Source organism: Homo sapiens, chromosome 19, assembly GCF_000001405.40.
Source record: "Homo sapiens chromosome 19, GRCh38.p14 Primary Assembly".
NCBI classification, from domain to species: domain Eukaryota; kingdom Metazoa; phylum Chordata; class Mammalia; order Primates; family Hominidae; genus Homo; species Homo sapiens.
The window spans coordinates 9,222,338-9,240,919 of NC_000019.10; the positions used below are offsets into that span (position 1 = coordinate 9,222,338).

General features: G+C 43.0%; 1 protein-coding gene and 1 pseudogene across 4 annotated transcripts in view; both read left to right on the forward strand.

The window, feature by feature from the left end:
- OR7E24 (olfactory receptor family 7 subfamily E member 24) overlaps positions 1-18,582 on the forward strand; it is a 46,138-nt gene that overhangs the window by 15,850 nt on the left and 11,706 nt on the right. For 2 of the 4 annotated variants that reach the window (XM_047438597.1, XM_047438596.1), the window contains one exon: positions 8,198-8,267. The exons of the other annotated variants lie outside the window; for them this stretch is intronic. The gene's annotated coding sequence lies outside the window, so the exon portion shown is untranslated. The remainder of the gene's footprint in view (positions 1-8,197; positions 8,268-18,582) is intronic. 4 annotated transcript variants of the gene reach the window in all.
- OR7D1P (olfactory receptor family 7 subfamily D member 1 pseudogene) lies at positions 13,007-13,655 on the forward strand (annotated as a pseudogene).

Genomic DNA, 18,582 nt, shown 5'->3' on the forward strand with positions numbered 1-18,582 from the left:
ATGTTTTTACAATTTTGACAGGGTTTGCATTAAATCTGTAGATTGCTTTGGATAGTATGGACATTTTAATATAGCAATTCTTCCAGTTCATGAACATGGGATATCTTTCCATTTATTTGTATCTTCTTTAATTTCTTTCAACAATGTTTTATAGTTCTGGGTGTACAAATTTTTCACCTCCTCAGTTAAATTTATTCCTAAGCATTCTATTTTTGGGGGTACCAATTATAAATAGGATTATTTTGTTGATTTCTTTTTTGAGTAGTTTGCTGTTAGTATATAGAAACACTATTGATTTTTATATGTCGATTATGTATCCTCCAACTTTACTGAGTCTTTTTTGTTAGTTCTAACAGTTTTTGGCAGTCTTCAGAGTTTTCTATACATAAGGTCATGTCATCTGCAAACAGGGAAAACTTAACTTCTTACTTTCCAGTTTGGATGTCTTTTATTTTTTTTCTCTAACCTAATTGATTTAGCTAGAACTTCCACTACTATATTGAGTAGAAGTGGTGAGAACAGGCATTCCTTTCTTGTTCTGGACCCTAGATAAAATGTTTTCAATTGTTCCCCATTGAGTGTGATGTTAGCTGTGGGTTTCTTGTGTGTGGTTTTTACTATGTTGAGGTATATTCCTTCTATATCTAACTCATTGAGTCTTTATCATTAAAGGATGTTAATTTTTGTCAAATGTTTTTTTCTGCATCTATAGAAATGGTCATATGGCTTTTGTTCTTCATTCTGTGAGTTTGATGTTTCTTGTTGTTTAATTTGCATAATTTGCACCATCCTTGTGAGGATAAACTGCTGGTCTTTTCAAGATAGAAGGAGCCCCATGTGGTCAACCTGCTCCCCTGGCTGGCTGGTCTCCTCAAGAAAGAAGGCCCTCTGGGTGTTCTGCTATTGTCTCTTGCTGACCATTCGGACATTCCGAAGCAGCACCAGCTCAATGGATCTTTGCAAATGGGAGGATCAGCCCTTGTGGCCACTCTGTTTATCAGGCCATCATACCATCAGGTGGCCAATGATAAAGGCTGGAAAATGTTATGTGGCAAAATGAATGCCTATCTGCCTCCTATGTGACATACAACACAAATATTTTCATTTATCATATCCAGTCCTCTATGTCCATCTACATACCTGTCTACACTGTTTCATCATTTTCTTTCAAAGCCCATGACCAGGTGGTCCCACCACCTCAAATGACTTTTTCTTCCAGACAACGTGGATGACCAGATGTGCCGCTTGCAGTTCCACCCTTTGCAGAGATTTTTTCTATACACCCCTTTTTCAGGGTGTCCCTGAACTTGGCTATAATGAAGCCATGGCTCATTTTTTATTGTACTCACATACCAAGCCAATCTGTCTATAAAGCAAACTCAGGCATTTTTCTCTTCTTTTTTTTTTTTTTTTTTAATAGTACAGGACATCTCCTGCTCCCCAATGGACCCTAGGTACAAGCTAAAGGCGTGGTGTTGGTGCGATAATGGTGAATGCCATTGGGATCTGCTGGAGTCTTGGCTTTTTTTTTCAGACTGAATCTTGCTCTGTGGCATAGACTGGAGTGCAGTGGCACAATCTCGGCTCACTGCAACCTCTGCCTCCTGGGTTCAAGCAATTATCGTGCCTCCGCCTCCCGATTAGCTGGGATAACAGGTGTGTGCCACCACACCCAGCTAATTTTTTGTATTTTTAATAGAGACAGGGTTTCACCATGTTAGCCAGGATGGTCTCGATCTCCTGACCTCGTGATCCACCTGCCTCAGCCTCCCAAAGTGCTGGGATTACAGGTGTGAGCCACTGCACCCAGCCGGGGTCTCGGCTTTCTACACGTGCAGCTTTCTCATGCCTCTGGTCCTGTTTGGGTTCATTCTCAGATGTGCCATTTCCACCATGGATTGGGGCTGGGCCTGTCTAATGTTACGACTTAGTAGGGCCCATAGAATCAGGTTATAGTGGGAAATTTCATATATGTGGTCATTGGTACCCCGTCATCAAGCATCCCATATCTACAGGACTTGGTAACAAACCAGGAACTATTTCTCAAAGACATATAAATATTTCCAGTGGATGGCATAGCCTCATTCTAGAATCCTTAAAACCTGATCATGATTTTCCCACTAAGAGATTCCATATGGCCAGGCATGGTGGCTCACACCTGTAATCCCAGCACTTTGGGAGGCTGAGGCCAGTGGATCACTTGAGCCCAGGAGTTCAAGACCAGCATGGCCAACAAGGTGAAACCCTGTCTCTACTAAAAAATAAAAAATACAAAAAATTAACTGAGCATGGTGGTGCAAGCCTGTAATCCTAGCTACTTGGGAGGCTGAGGCAGGAGAATCACTTGAACTGGGGAGGTGGAGGTTGCAGTGAGCCAGAATCGTGCCACTGCACTTCAGCCTGGGCAATGGAGTGAGACTTGGTCAAAACAAAAAAAAAAAAGAGAGAGAGATTCCATAGATGCACTCTGAATTTTGTTCACCAATGACCTTCAACACCATAGATCTAGCAGATAATATGGCCCAAGCATAGGGGTGTATGATGTGAGAAGAGGAGATTATGTTGGTATGTGGGTGATCCATTTAAACACTTATCAGTAGACTTTCTCTCAATTTTCACAATCAATGGTCAAATGCAACAGACATGACCTGAAAAAGAAATGACAACCAGGACTTGGAATGCTTAGGGATGAAGGTCAAGGTCACCCCACCACCTGAATCACCCAACAACAGAAGTGTTATACAAGGAGAGGGGAGGTCGGGTGCGGTGGCCCATGTCTGTAATCCCAGCACATTGGGAGACTGAGGTGGGCAGATCACCTGAGGTCAGGAGTTCAAGACCAGCCTGACCAACATGGGGAAACCCCATCTCTACTAAAAAAAATTAGCCAGATGTGATGGCACATGCCTGTAATCCCAGCTACTCGGGAGGCTGAGGCAAGAGAACTGCTTGAACCTGGGAGGCAGAGGTTGCAGTGAGCCAAGATCACACCACTGTTCTCCAGCCTGGGCAACAAGAGCGAAACTCAAGAAGGAAAGAAGGAAGGAAGGAAGGAGGGGAAGGAAGGGAAGGAGGGGAAGGAAGGGAAGGAAGCGAAGGAAGAAAGAAAAGAGAGGGAGGGAGGGAGGGAAGGAAGGAAGGAAAGAAGGAAGGAAGGAATAAAAAAACAACAAAAAGGAGAGGGGAATTGAGGATGGTGACAAGGGAGGGGGACACTACCTATATCAGTGGGACCTTGAGATGACAGGCAGCAGCAGAGGCTGCTGTTTGAACCACTGACCCTCCTTTTGTAAGTATTTCATCCTATTGGCCTCTCTTCCCTAAAACGACACAAAGGAAACCATGGGGAATGCCACTCCTTGAATGTACACAAAAAGTTTATCCAAATGGCTGAAGGAGTGGATGGTCATGGATGCTGCGTTGCATTCCTTACTTATCCATTTCAGAATGAAGGTCCTGTTCTTCAGGGCATAAGGAGTGTAGCCATATGGCAGCCTGCAGCCTCAATCCCCTTAGAGAGTTGCTCTCAGCTGAAGGAGGCTGCTTTATTCATGGTGGAAACACTCATCTCTCTTGCTGTAGGAGCATAACTGACCCAGAGCCATCTGTATTCATTACTATGTTTGTGCCAAGCTTGCTCCTGGGCTGCTCCCATCACGGCTAGAACACAGCAAGGCACCTGTGCATGCTCCTTCCTGTGTCCACAATGACATTGATGACCTGGGTCAATTACTCCTGCCAGGTGGGAGCTCCTCTCCTTGGCATGAGAGCCCTGAAGTGCTAGGCAGCAGCATGGCTTGAAGTTCTTAGAGACTTCTGCCCTTTCTCTAGAAGGGCTAAGCCTTGTTTGAAATGCTTGTTCCCTGGTACCATAAAGAAATAGCACTTGAATATAAATTTAATTTCCTCAGCCAGGCCATTTTTATACTTTCTGCAGAAAGGGTACACTCGCCAGCAGTTTTGCCACGAGAGTATACTGAACAAAGGAGACAAGGTCATTTATAACCTGATGTGTCCACCCTACTGCTGGGTCCGGTTTCCACTGGCTGGAACGGGACCGCACATTCCGTGTTTGTCCTGATTGGCTAGCAACTTAGAACTTTTTAAAAGAGGCAAAGGCAGAGGAGAACAAAGGAAGGAGAAAGTAACTTGTGGAATGTTGAGAAAGGTAAAAACACCTTCAAATAAGGAAGAGGAACAGGCTATGACCTAATGCTTGCTTGGACCAGTATAAGCATGCCAGGGCAAATATTTAGGCTAAATTGTGAGAGCTAAAAACATAAAGTACATTGATTTCTTTATTACGGCTAGCAGATATTTAAGAATGTTAGCACAGGTCTTTGAATAAATTTTGCTTCTAAGGGAAGTTACTATTTATTCCCAATTAGACAAGGAGGAAAGTCTTTGAAGAGGAACCTCTACTTACTTTTACAGCCTTTAGAAGCCAAGACCTCTAAATCTGCAGAAGTCAGACTTGAGAACAGAAGCACAAAGTCCCCAAGTGGCTCCCTGAGAGGAACATCAGGCAGGGACCCTTCTACTTTCCACCCTTGATTTTTTTTAACTTTATCTTAAGCTCAGGGGTACAAGTGCAGGTTTGTCACATAGGTAAACTGGGTCATAGGGGTTTGTTGTACAGATTATTTGATCACCTGGCTATTAAGCCTAGTACCCATTAGTTATTTTTCCTGATCCTCTTACTCCTCCCACCCTCCATCCTCTGAAAGGCCTCAGTGTGTGTAGTTCCCCTCTCTGTGTCCATGTGTTCCCATCATTTAGCTTTCACCTATAAGTGAGAACATGCGGTATTTGCTTTTCTGTTCCTGCATTACTTTGCTAAGGATAATGGCCTCCAGCTCCATCCATGTCCCTACAAAGGACATTGATCTCATTCTTTCTCTTTTTTTTTTTTTTCCAGAGTCCTGCTCTGTCACCAGGTGGGAGTGCAGTGGCACGATCTCGGCTCACTGCAACCTCTGCCTCCTGGGTTCAAGCTATTCTCCTGCCTCAGCCTCCGGAGGAACTGGGACTACAGGCATGAGCCACCAAGCTCAGCTAATTTTTGTATTTTTAGTAGAGACGGGGTTTCGCCACGTTGGCCAGGCTGGTCTCAATTTCTTGACCTCGTGATCCACACGCCTTGGGCTCCCAAAGTGCTGGGATTACAGACTTGAGCCGCCATGCCTGCCTGATATCATTCTTTTTTATGGCTGCATAGTATTCCATGGTGTATATGTACCACATTTTCTTTATCCAGTCTATCACTGATGGACATTTAGGTTGGTTCTATACCTTTGCTATTGTAAATATTGCTGCAGTGAACATATACATCCATGTGTCTTTATATACTAATGATATATATTCCTCTGGGTATATACCCAGTAATGGGATTGCTGGGTAGAATGGTATTTCTTTTTTTTTTTTTTTTTTTTTTGAGACGGAGTCTCGCTCTGTCGCCCAGGCTGGAGTGCAGTGGCGGGATCTCGGCTCACTGCAAGCTCCGCCTCCCGGGTTCATGCCATTCTCCTGCCTCAGCCTCCCAAGTAGCTGGGACTACAGGCGCCCGCCACTACGCCCGGCTAATTTTTTGTATTTTTAGTAGAGACGGGGTTTCACCGTTTTAGCCGGGATGGTCTCGATCTCCTGACCTCGTGATCCGCCCGCCTCGGCCTCCCAAAGTGCTGGGATTACAGGCGTGAGCCACAGCGCCCGGCCAGAATGGTATTTCTGTCTTTAGGTCTGTGAGGAATCATCACACTGTCTTCCATAACGAATGAACTAATTTATACCTCCACCGACAGTGTATAAGCATTCCTTTTTCTCCACAACCTCACCAGCATCTGTTATTTTTTGACTTTTTAATAATAGCCATTCTCACTGTCCACCCTTGAGTTTTGGACCCATGGATTTTATATATTGGGGATGTAGCACATTATGATTTTTCTTTGTCTTATGGTGTATATTACATCCTGCCAATTTTGTAGTCAGTATCTGTGTATTCAAATACCTACATTAATTATTTTCATTCTCTTTGAAATTAAACACATTCCCCTATTGTCCAGTTAAAAACATTTTTCAAAATACTCTCCCATACTCCATGCCCCCGTTAGGCTACACTTTCTCTCTTCTCTCCGCTTCCCTAAAAACTTCATAGTTGGTGTACATTTGCCACCTATATTTCCTCTAGACACACTCTTCACCTACTCCATATGGGCTATTACTGTCCTACCCTTCTATTTAGAGGTAATAAATGAAGCCCTTCCTAAAATCAACAAAGGCTTCCATGTCACCAGAAAATGTCAAAAACTATTGTTCAGTCCTCATTTTGTTGGTTCTTTCACCAGGACAAAACCTACTCACCAATTTGCTTTCCTTCAGGAAGGACTACTTTGGAGTAGATGGTGAATGCCAGGGACTGAAAAGGGGAGAAAATGGGGAGATGCTGGTTAAACCACAAAGGGTTCTAGTGATGCAAGATTAATAAGTTGTGGATATGTCCTATACAATACAGTGCTTGTAGATATCAATAATGTATTATTTAGAAAAATGTGCTTAAAGGCAGACGTTATGTTATGTGTGGTTATCACACATTAAAATATTAAAGCCAGTTGAAACTTTAAGAGGTGATGGGTATGTCCCTCGCCGTAATGGTGGTGATGGTTTCAAGGATGTATGCCTGTTTCAAAACTCATCATGTGTATACATTAAATGTCTACAGCTTTTACATTTTAATCATACTTCAATAAAGTGGTTAAAACATAAGGAAAGTAAATTTAAAAAAAAGATCCCTTTGCCTCTATAACCTTGTGGACACCAAGGGATCCATAAAATCTCCAAAGTTTCTTCAAGGGAGGCACATTCCAGAGAGAAGATTGCTGAGTTTTGGTTCCTTATAGAAATTAAACTTTCCTGCCAGGGATGGTGGCTCATGCCTGTAATTCCAGCACTTTGGGAGGCTGAGGCGGGTGGATCACCGGAGGTCAGGAGTTCGAGACCAGCCTGGCCAATATGGTGAAACCCCATCTCTACTAAAAAAAAACTACAAAAATTAGCCGGGCGTGGTGGCAGGTGCCTGTAATCCCAGCTACTCAGGAGACTGAGGCAGGAGAATCACTTGAACCTGGGAGGCAGAGGTTGCAGTGAGCCAAGATCACACCACTGCACTCCAGCCTGGGCGACAGAGCAAGATTCTGTCTCAAAAAAAAAAAGAAAGAAAGAAAAGAAAAAAAGAAATTAAACTTTCCTTAGGGAATACCTTGTGACTTTTAAATCCAACTAAAGAAAGAGTTTCTCCTTGGAGAAAATAAATTCATCTCCCACTACCGCTGCAAAATTGCCTGAACATTTTCCATTCTGCTATCTTCTTTGTATCCTAAGGGAGCTGAATTATTTGGAGGGTGGAAAAACAATAGAACAATTTATTTAATGAGGCTCTCTGAGAGTTCAACCCTTGAGGCAATGGAAACTTCGAACTGGGCCCTGCCACCCCTCAAGTGTAATTCTCTGATCCCAGCCTTGGAAAAAACACAATTGGGTTTAACAGGGACACACCATGGAGAAGAGAAAGCATCAGTGACAATCAGAGTCAGTGTGACCCAACAAGGGCTGCTGGGGTAAGAGGAGAGAGAGTGGGTACTGGGCTGTACCTTTAGAGTAATAAGCCTAGACAGTCCCATATTTATTTAGTCTATGAAGCTGAAGTTCCTGTATTTTTTTTTTTTTTTGAGACAGAATTTTGCTCTTATTACCCAAGCTGGAGTGCAATGGCACGATCTCGGCTCAGCACAACCTCCGCCTCTTGGGTTCAAGCGATTCTCCTGCCTCAGCCTCCTGAGTAGCTGGGATTACAGGCAGGCGCCACTACGCCTGGCTAATTTTTGTGTTTTTAGTAGAGACGGGGTTTCTCCATGTTGCTCAGGCTGGTCTCGAACTCCTAACCTCAGGTGATCCCCCTGCTTTGGCCTCCCAAAGTGCTGAGATTACAGGTGTGAGCCACCGCGCCCAGCCTTGAAGTTCCTGTATTTTAAAGGTACTTTAGTTTTCACCAATACCAGTCTTTTGTAGCCCTTGTTCTGTTCCTTTTCTTTCCTTCTGGAAGCTGAAGCCTCTTTCCGGGAACAGTTAGGAATGTCCATACTTGAATGTATGATTTTCTGATGATCTCCAAATCCTCTCCACTCTCTGCCATAAACTGTAGGTTCCTGGTAGGTTTCCTGAATCCAATCACCTCTTCCTGAATGACTCACTGAAGATCTGTCCTACGCAAGGTATTGTCTATTTTGTTTCTAATATGATTGGATTTTCTTTTATAATTTTACTATGTTGCTGGCAGATCTGACTTCAAATATTACTAAAGAATTCTATATCATTGTTGTTGTCATTACTATTTTTTCACTTCAGTGTCCACAGTGCCATGTAAAAAATAATATTATTTTTGACATTTGAAACTCGGGCCAATTTCCTTTATTTCATTTTTACCAATGTCTTTAAATGTTCAGGAGACTCTCAGACGATTGATGCTGAGTAGACTGCCTTGGCCTATTCATGAATTTAAGAGGAATGCTGTAGTGTTTATTTATTGATTGATTGATTGAGATGGAGTCTTGCTCTGTGGCCCAGGCTAGAGTACAATGACATGATCTCGCCTCACAGCAACCTCCGCCTCCGCCTTCAAGTGATTCTCTTGTCTCAGCCTCCCAGGTAACTGGGATTACAGGCTTGCACCACCATGACCAGCTAATTTTTGTATTTTTAGTATTTTTATTAGAAATGGGGTTTCACCATCTTGGCCAGGCTTGTCTCAAACTCCTGACCTCAAGTGATCTGCCCACCTCAGCCTCCCAAAGTGCTGGGATTATTACAGGTGTCAGCCACCACTCCCGGCCTGAGAAATGCTATAGTGTTTTAATATGGACTATGCTGTTGGCTGTGGTTTCCTTTACTAGGTTAAATTGTCCTTGGTGGCCGGGCATGGTGGCTCATGCCTGTAATCCCAGCACTTTGGGAGGCCAAGGCGGGTGGATCATGAGGTCACGAGATTGAGACCATCCTGGCCGACATGGTGAAACCCCATCTCTACTAAAAATACAAAAATTAGCTGGGCATGGTGGCGCATGCCTGTAGTCCCAGCTACTTGGGAGGCTGCGGCAGGAGAATCGCTTGAACCTGCGAGGTGGAGGTTGCAGTGAGCCGAGATTGCGCCACTGCGCTCCAGCCTAGGCAATAGAGCAAGACTCTGTCTCAAAAACAAAAGCAACAACAACAAAAATTGTCCTTGGTTTCCTCATGTCCTGAGAGTCTCTGCACTGGCTGCTGTTTGATTTTCTGAAATATATTATTTTGCATTGTGTTTGTGGTTAAGGTTTTTTTTTTATTGACCTATTATTGTGATGAACTATGTAAACAAACATCCTAATATTAAGCCTGTTTGCTATTAATAGGAGTCTTACATGTTCACGGTGTATGATTCTTTTAAAATAAACAGAAACGTATTTTATTTAACTTTACTGTTCAATTTAGTGTCTATATTCAGGCATGAAATGAATAAAAATTTCTGTTTTGTGTTATGGATGTCAGTTTTGATCTCAATCTTTATTACACATCCAAAATCGTGTTTCTTGAACACCTACTAATGATACAGGAGCTAAAAAGAAATTACTTAGGCAGCTAGTGAGGGTAAGAGAGTCCTTGGCAAGGGTTTCCATTTTAACAAAAAGCATCCCCCAAAATCATTTCTTTTTTAACAAAGAGCAGCCTGAAAAAATCAAGCTGCAGACATAGAAAAGCGGGCTGCAAGCTTGCACGGGTGAATGCTGGCAGCTGTGCCAATGGGAAAAGGCTACCTGGGGGCCAGGCGTGTTCAACATGGAGGCTCCATCTTCCTTTTGTCAACCTTGTGTGCATTAAAAAGCAGGCTATATGGCCGGGCTCGGTGGCTCACGCCTGTAATCCCAGCACTTTGGGAGGCCGAGGTGGACGGATCACGAGGTCAGGAGATAGAGACCATCCTGGCCAACATGGTGAAACCCCGTGTCTACTAAAAATACAAAAATTAGCCAGGCGTGGTGGTGTGCGCCTGTAGTCCCAGCTATTCAGGAGGCTGAGGCAGGAGAATCACTTGAACCTGGGAGGCGGAGGTTGCAGTGAGCCAAGATCGCGCCACTGCACTGCAGCCTGGGCAGCAAGAGCGAAACTCCGTCGCAAAAAAAAAAAAAAAAAAAAAAGATTCTTCGTGCACTTTGTAAACGGCACACCTGGTCCAACCAGTCCTTTGTGCCCTGTGTAAATCAGACACCACCTCCTCAAGCTTATCTATAAAATCCCATGCATTTCACAATGGAACTGGAAGACCCACTCGGCAGCGCCTCGGAGAGAGCTTTTCTCTTTCTCTCATCTATGAAACCTCCGCTGTTAAACCCAATCCTTGTTTGTCTGTGTCCTTGATTTCCTTGGCGTGAGGCAGCGAACCTCAGGTATTACCCCAAACGAATGACACTGCTTCCACTAAGTGACGGGTACCATGTACACCTCTGGAAAGAAAAATGATGAAAGAAAACACAACCTCAGATCCACAAATAAACGTAAAATTACCTACATGAGATGCACTCATGTAGAAAGAGCACAGGATGGTCTCTTGTGGGGCTCACGCTCTGACCCCCCTAACCCTCACTCTCCACTCTCCATCTCACTGGTCTCTCAAGTCCCAATTACTAAGCTCTCTGAGTCACGTGCAACCAGGCATTTCATCCTCCCAGCCTACGCTGTCTATTCTTTCCTTGCTTCCCCTTTTGAATCATGACCCAATCTTCTTCTCTTAGCTCCAAGATTCCTATTTCAGAACCCAACTTCCTAGACTAAATTCGTCTTCTATGATGTTTTTCTGGTCTTTGATTAGTTAAATATCTCTAGGCATCAGTATCACTGCCGTTTTTCTACCATGGTAAATGTAATCATTTATTTTCAAATCTTAAATTTGCCTTTTCTTTTTCTAGGATGACATGATTTATGTAAGTTTTGAATATTTTGAACCAAATCCATGAATTATATATGTTGATGATCGACTCTACTGACCTTAGTACACTGCAACCCCACTGGAAAGCACGTACACACGAGAACAGACTCACACGTGACTTGTGTTTTATTTTAATGGCTGTGTGCTTTTGTTTCCTCCTCTTATATATGTAGTCCACATGCTTTTTTCTCTTCTTGGAAGAATCACCTGGCAGGCATTCTGAAGGAAGGAGTCACAGGAATCTTCATTAATTAGAAGTGTTGTATGGCAGTCAAAGAGGTAACAGTTCTATTCATCTTCACCAGAATTCCATCCTTGATGGTCAGCACAGTTTGAGATGGATATTAAGAAATGACACTCATGCAAGGCAGATTATTGTGATGTTAAGAACGGAAGCTCACATTTATGATATGGCCGTTGTATGCCACAGAAACCAGAGCAGAAAAACAACATGGATCATCTCATTTAATTTCACTCTTCAATCCGTCCATGCAGAAAATATTTACTACTCTTATTTAGAGGTGAATTATCTGCAGCTAAGAGGGTTTACATGTCTTTCTTTTTTTTTTTTTTGATATAGAGTCTCACTCTGTCACCCAGGCTGGAGTGCAGTGGCACGATATCAGCTCCCTGCAACCTCCGCCTCCCAGGTTCAAGCAATTCTCCTGCCTCAGCCTCCCAAGTAGCTGGGACTACAGGTGCGCACCACCACGCCTGGCAATTTTTTGTATATTTAGTAGAGACGGGGTTTCACCATGTTGGCCAGGCTGGTCTCGAACTCCTGACCTCGTGATCCGCTCACCTCGGCCTCCCAAGGTGGTGGGATTACAGGCGTGAGCCACTGTGCCTGGCCACATGTCTTTCTTAAGGTCACACAATAGTAAGTTGGTGGACCAAAATTCTATTCCAGAAAATCTCCCTCAAGATTCCATTTCCTAAATTACACCTATGTATTGTACCTTGGAAGAGTGATATATCCAAAATAACTATCTTATAAGAAGAAGGAGTTTAATAATATCGACAGCTATCATTTACTGAGACTCTTATTGTACACAAAGCCACTTTTAAAACCTCACAAAGTGATACTGACAATCATATTTTTAGAAAGAAAAAAATAAACGTACACTTAGATAAAAGGTATATGTTCTTTTGATCAAGAGCAAAGTAGCATTACTATAGTTAACAACATTGTATTGCATATTTCAAAGTAACTAGAAAAGAGGACGTGAATTGTTCCCAACACATAGAAAGGATAAATACTGAAGGTGGTAGACACCTCAGATACCCTGATGTGATTATTATGTATTCTATGCATGTAAGAAAATATCACATGTCCCCCATAAATGAGTAAAACATGAGGTATCCATGAAAACTAAGGAACTGAGAATTAACTGTCACATCACCTGTGTCAGGTCACAGAAAAAAAGATTGCCTGAGTTGAAAATGCGTATCTTAATCATGATTATACACCTATTAGCATGAAGGAACTATGGAGATGTATCAAAAGACATGGCGAGTCTGCAGTTATGTGGAAGGATCCTATCAAAGAAGAAATTACTGTCCATAGGTTTGAATCAAATAATTAAAACTCAGGAGTATATGGTAAAGGAGAAAGATTACTGCTAAATTAAAGGTAGTTTGAGAAACTCCGCACGTTTCAAATGGAATTAGGCTACCAAATGGCTGAGTGAATCAGGATCTTTGGAAGGACTCCATAGAAGTTGCATCCAAGGGTGATATTGAAGAGTGATTGAATGTTGCTTTTTCCTCCTTCCCCAGTAGACACAACAGCTACATGGAAGCAGAAAACCTTACAGAATTATCAGAATTCCTCCTCTTAGGACTCTCAGATGATCCTGAACTGCAGCCCGTCCTCTTTGGGCTGTTCCTGTCCATGTACCTGGTCATGGTGCTGGGGAACCTACTCATCATCCTGGCCGTCAGCTCTGACTCCCACCTCCACAGCCCCATGTAATTCTTCCTCTCCAACTTGTCCTTTGTGGACACCTGTTTCATCTGCACCACAGTCCCCAAGATGCTAGTGAACATCCAGGCACGGAGCAAAGACATCTCCTACATGGGGTGCCTCACTCAGGTGTATTTTTAAATGATGTTTGCTGGAATGGATACTTTCCTACTGGCTGTGATAGCCTATGACCGGTTTGTGGCCATCTGCCACCCACTGCAGTACATGGTCATCATAAACCCCCATCTCTGTGGCCTCCTGGTTCTGGCATCTTGGTTCATCATTTTCTGGTTCTCCCTGGTTCATATTCTACTGATGAAGAGGCTGACCTTCTCCACAGGCACTGAGATTCCGCATTTCTTCTGTGAACTGGCTCAGGTCCTCAAGGTGGCCCGCTCTGATGCTCTCCTCATTAACATTGTCTTGTATGTGGCCATGGCACTGCTGGGTGTGTTTCCTGTAGCTGGGATCCTCTTCTCCTACTCTCAGATTGTCTCCTCCTTAATGAGAATGTCCTCCACCGAGGGCAAGTACAAAGCCTTTTCCACCTGTGGATCTCACCTCTGTGTGGTCTCCTTGTTCTATGGAACAGGACTTGGGGTCTATCTCAGTTCTGCTGTGACCCATTCTTCCCAGAGCAGCTCCATGGCCTCAGTGATGTACGCCATGGTCACCCCCATGCTGAACCCCTTCATCTACAGCCTGAGGAACAAGGATGTGAAGGGGGCCCTGGGGAGACTCCTTAGCAGGGCAGCCTCTTGTCTCTTACGGTACACAACCTCAGAACTAAGAGGATGCTATGGGTCCCTTAAGCAAATGTGAATGCGCATATCCTAGATCTTGCTCTCCCCTAAAATATATGTTGCAGTTTCCTATTTTCAAAGCACCTACGACTTTGCTTAAAATGTTTTTGTATGGCCGGGCACGGTGGCTTACACCTGTAATCGCAGCACTTTGGGAGGCAGAGGCGGGCAGATCATGAGGTCAAGAGATCGAGACCATCCTGGCCAACAGGTGAAACCCTGTCTCTACCAAAAACACAAAAATTAGCTGGGCGTGGTGGCACACGCCTGTAGTCCCAGCTGCTTTGGAGGCTGAGGCAGGAGAATCGCTTGAACCCAGGAGGCGGAGGTTTCAGTGAGCCGAGGTAGCACCACTGCACTCCAGTCTGGGTGACAGAGCGAGACTCTGTCTGAAAAAAAAGAAAAAAAAGGTTTTTGTATTAGGTTGGTGCAAAAGTCATTGCAGTTTTGCCATCAAAAGTAATGGCCAAAACTGCAATGACTTTTGCACCCACCTAATATATTTCTGCTGAAGAGCTCTCTCAGTAATTCCTTTTAAAGTTTTCTTCTCTGCACATAGTCCTTAAAGTTCCATCTTTGATCCATTTTTTTAGTGCCATTCCTGAGATTTCTAACTTGACATTATAAAACTCTTCATGTCAAATGCTGACACGCGTCCTCGAAAATGATCCATTTGAATGTTACTGTTTCATCTTAATTTGATTTTGCTCGTTATCCCTGGAAGAAATAAAATGAAATTCATAAAATATTCAAAGCAAAGTACTTACCATATCAAAACTCTGCTTACTAGTTTACATCTATAAACTATTTCATCCTAAAAACCTTTCTTTGAGTTATTTTCTCTCATTCACTCTATTTCTCAGAGGAAGAGATTGAGTTGAGGTCGGCTATATCAGGCAGTGTGACACTGCAGCCCCACTACTAACTTTGCTGACCCGAATTTCATAAAAATACTCAGGAGCTTTTCAAGTTGAAAGCTGGGATCTAGATTCACAGGCTGGTTCATTCATAAAATTCATAGAGATTAGTGCTTCGGAGTACCCTGAGCTGTTGCTTCATTCCTTGTGATTCTTGCTTTTGTCCTTCTTACTTCTCTTTTCCCTTCTATCCTTCCTCCTTTCTCCCTTCTTTATCTTAGTCTCTCCCTCCTTCCTTTCCTTGTTCCTCTAGGTTTTTTTAAAATTTATTTATTTATTTATTTATTTATTTTTGAGACGGAGTCTCGCTCTGTCCCCCAGGCTGGAGTGCAGTGGCACGATCTCGGCTCACTGCAAGCTCCGCCTCCCGGGTTCATGCCATTCTCTTGCCTCAGCCTCCTGAGTAGCTGGGACTACAGGCGCCCCCCACCACGCCTGGGTAATTTTTTGTATTTTTTTTTTAGTAGAGACGGGGTTTCACCACGTTAGCCAGGATGGTCTCGATCTCCTGACCTTGTGATCCATCCGCCTCAGCCTCCCAAAGTGCTGGGATTACAGGCATGAGCCACCGCGCCCGGCCTAGATTGTTTTATTTGTTAATGTTAATTTCCTTCGTTCCTTTTTATGGTGGAGCAATATTCCACTAGATGTGCAGACTGCAAAGTGTTTATTCACTCATCCATTGATGGACAAGGGGTGATTTCCATCTTTGGGCTACTGTAAATAGTGCTGCCATGAACATGCATGTAAATTTGTTTGTTTGGTTCTTAGTTTCCATCAGTTGGGGAAGATAACTAGCAGTGGGACTTCTGGGTCCTATGGTAATTATATGTTTAACTTTTTGAGCAAGTGACAAACTGAGTTTTATAGAAGCTGGCACATTGAACATTTCCAGCAATGTATAAAGTTCTAGTATCTCCACATCCTTGCCAATACTTTTTTAAAAAAACAACTGTAGCCAGCCAGGTGTGGTGGTTCATGCCTGTAATCCCAGCACTTTGGGAGGCTGAGGTGGGTGGATCACTTGAGGCCAGGAGTTTGAAACCAGCCTGGCCAACATGGCGAAATCCCATCTCTAATAAAACAAAAATTAACCAGGCATGGTGGCATACGCCTGTAATCCCAGCTACTTGGGAGGCAGAGGCACGAGAATGCTTGAAGCTGGGAGGCAGAGGTTGCAGTGAGCCAAGATTGCATCACTGTGACAGAGCAAGTGACAGCCTGGGTGACAGAGCAAGACTCTGTCTCAAAAAAACAAAAATAAACAAAAAAACAATGAAGTGGTGTCTCATTGTGCTCTTGATTTCCATTTTCCTAATGATTCATTGAGCATCTTTCCACATGCTTGTTGGCAGTTTGTATATCTGCTATGAATCAATGTCTTTTCACATCTTTGCTCACTTTGTAATTGTGCAGTTTGTACTTTTGTTTCTCACCTGTAAGAATTCCTCATATATTCAGAATACTCGACCCTTATCAGATATATGCTTGCCAAATATTCCCCACCCATTTGTATGTTATCTTTCCGTTTTTTGAAGTATACAATTTGTTATTAACTATATTCATCATAAAGTGTAAATAGATCTCTTAAAATCACTTCCCCTGTCTCACTGAAACTTTGTGTCTTTTGACTATGATCTACCCAATCCCCTCACTTCACAGCCTCTGGTAACCTCAATTTACTCTGTTTTTATGAGTTTGACTTGTTTTCATCTACCTGCATGTGAGTTCATGCAGTATTTGTCAAGCCGTGCGTGGTTTATTTCACTTACCAGAAAGTCCTGCAGGTTCATCCATGTGGTAGTAAGTGACAGGTTTTTCCTTCTTTGTAAAGGCTAAATAGTATTCCATTGTGCAGATAGAATACATTTCTTTATATTTCTGATGATGAGTCCTTAGGTTGATTCCATTTCTTGGCTATGGTGATGAATGCTGCCATGAAAACAGAAATGCAGATATCTCTCAACATACTGCTTTCATATAAACTCAGTAGTGGGATTGCTGGATCCTAAGGTAGTTCTATTTTCAATTTTAGAAGGAACCTTCATACTGTTTTCCATAATGCAGCACTAATTTATATTCCAACCAACAGTATGCAATGTCCCTTTTCTCCACATACCCAACATTTTTACAATTCAACTTTTTTTTTTTTTGAGATGGAGTCTTGCTCTGTTGCCCAGGCTGGAGTGCAGTGATGCAATCTTGGCTCACTGCAAGCTCCCCCTCCTTGGTTCACACCATTCTCCTTCCTCAGCCTCCCGAGTAGCTGGGACTACAGGCACCCGCCACCATGCCTGGCAAATATTTTTTGTATTTTTTAGTAGAGACGGGGCTTCACCGTGTTAGCCAGGATGGTCTTGATCTCCTGACCCCGTGATCCATCCACCTTGGCCTCCCAAAGTGCTGGGATTACAGGCTGAGCCACCGCACATGGCCAACAGTTCAACTTCTTGATAACAGCATTCTAACACGTACAAGGTGATATGTCATTGAGGTTTGAATTTGCATTCCTGAAGATTTGTGAAGCTGAGTGTTTTTTCATATACCTGTTAATTTGCATGCCTTCTTTCTAGTAATGTCTATTCAGATCCTTTGTCTATTTTCCAATCAGGTTGTTTTCTCACAATTGAGTTGCATTTCATACAGTCTTAATATTCTTTCTTTTTCTTTTTCTTTTTTTTTTTTTTTTTTTGAGTTGGAGTCTCGCTCTGTTGCCCAGGCTGGAGTGCAGTGGTGCAATCTGGGCTCACTGCAACCTCCGCCTCCCAGCTTCAAGCAATTCTCCTGTCTCAGCCTCCTGAGTAGCTGGGATTACAGGCACATGCCACAGTGCCCGGCAAATTTTTGTATTTTTAATAGAGATGGGGTTTCACCATATTGGTCAGGCTGGTCTCGAACTGACCTCAAGTGATACACCCGCCTTGGCCTCCCAAAGTGCTGGGATTACAGGCATGAGCCACTGTGCCTGGCCTGAATATTCCCTCTTGAATAGGTCGTTTTTTCTTTTTTAAAATTTAGTCGAGATGGGGTCTCCCTAGGTGGCCCAGTCTGGTCTCAAACTCCTGGGCTCAAGTGATCCTCCTGCCTTGGCCTCTCCAAAGTGCTGGGTTTACAGGCCTGAGCCACCACACCAGGCCCCCTCTTTAATTTTGCAATTGTATTCTCCCATTCCATAGGATGTCTCTTCACTCTATAGATTGTTTCTTTTGCTGTGTGGGAACTTTTTAGCCTGATGCAATCTCATTTTTCTGTTTTTGCCTTTGTTGCTTGTGTTTTGGGTTCTTATCCAAAAAATCATTGCCCAGTGTAATTTCATGGAGGATTATTCCTATGTTTTCTTTTAGTGGTTTTGCATTTTCAGGTTTACTGAGACCTGAGATGAGGAGCTAATTTCATTCCTCTGCATGTGGTTTTCCAGTTTTCCCAGCACCATTTATGGAAGAGACTGTCCTTTCCCCACTGTGTGTTCTCGGCATCTTTGTCAAAAAATGATTTGCCATAAATTCATTGATTCATTTCTGCACCACCTCTTCTGTTCCATTGTCCTTTGTATCTGTGTTTCTATTGGTACCATGCTCCATTTTCTTAACAGAACATTTTGATAGAGAAAAGTTTTAAAATTTGATGAAGTTCAATATATCTATTTTTTTGTTTTGTTACTCATGCTTTCACTGTTGTATCTAACAATCTGCTTCCAAATAAAGTGTAATCAAGATATTCCTGTATGTTTTTTTCTAAGAGTTTTATGATTTTAGCTACATTATATTTAAGCTATTGACTTTTTATTTATTTATTTATTTTGAGACACAGTCTCTCTCTGTCACCCAGGCTGGAGTGCAGAGGTGTGATCTCGGCTCTCTGCAACCTCTGCCTCCCGGGTTCAAG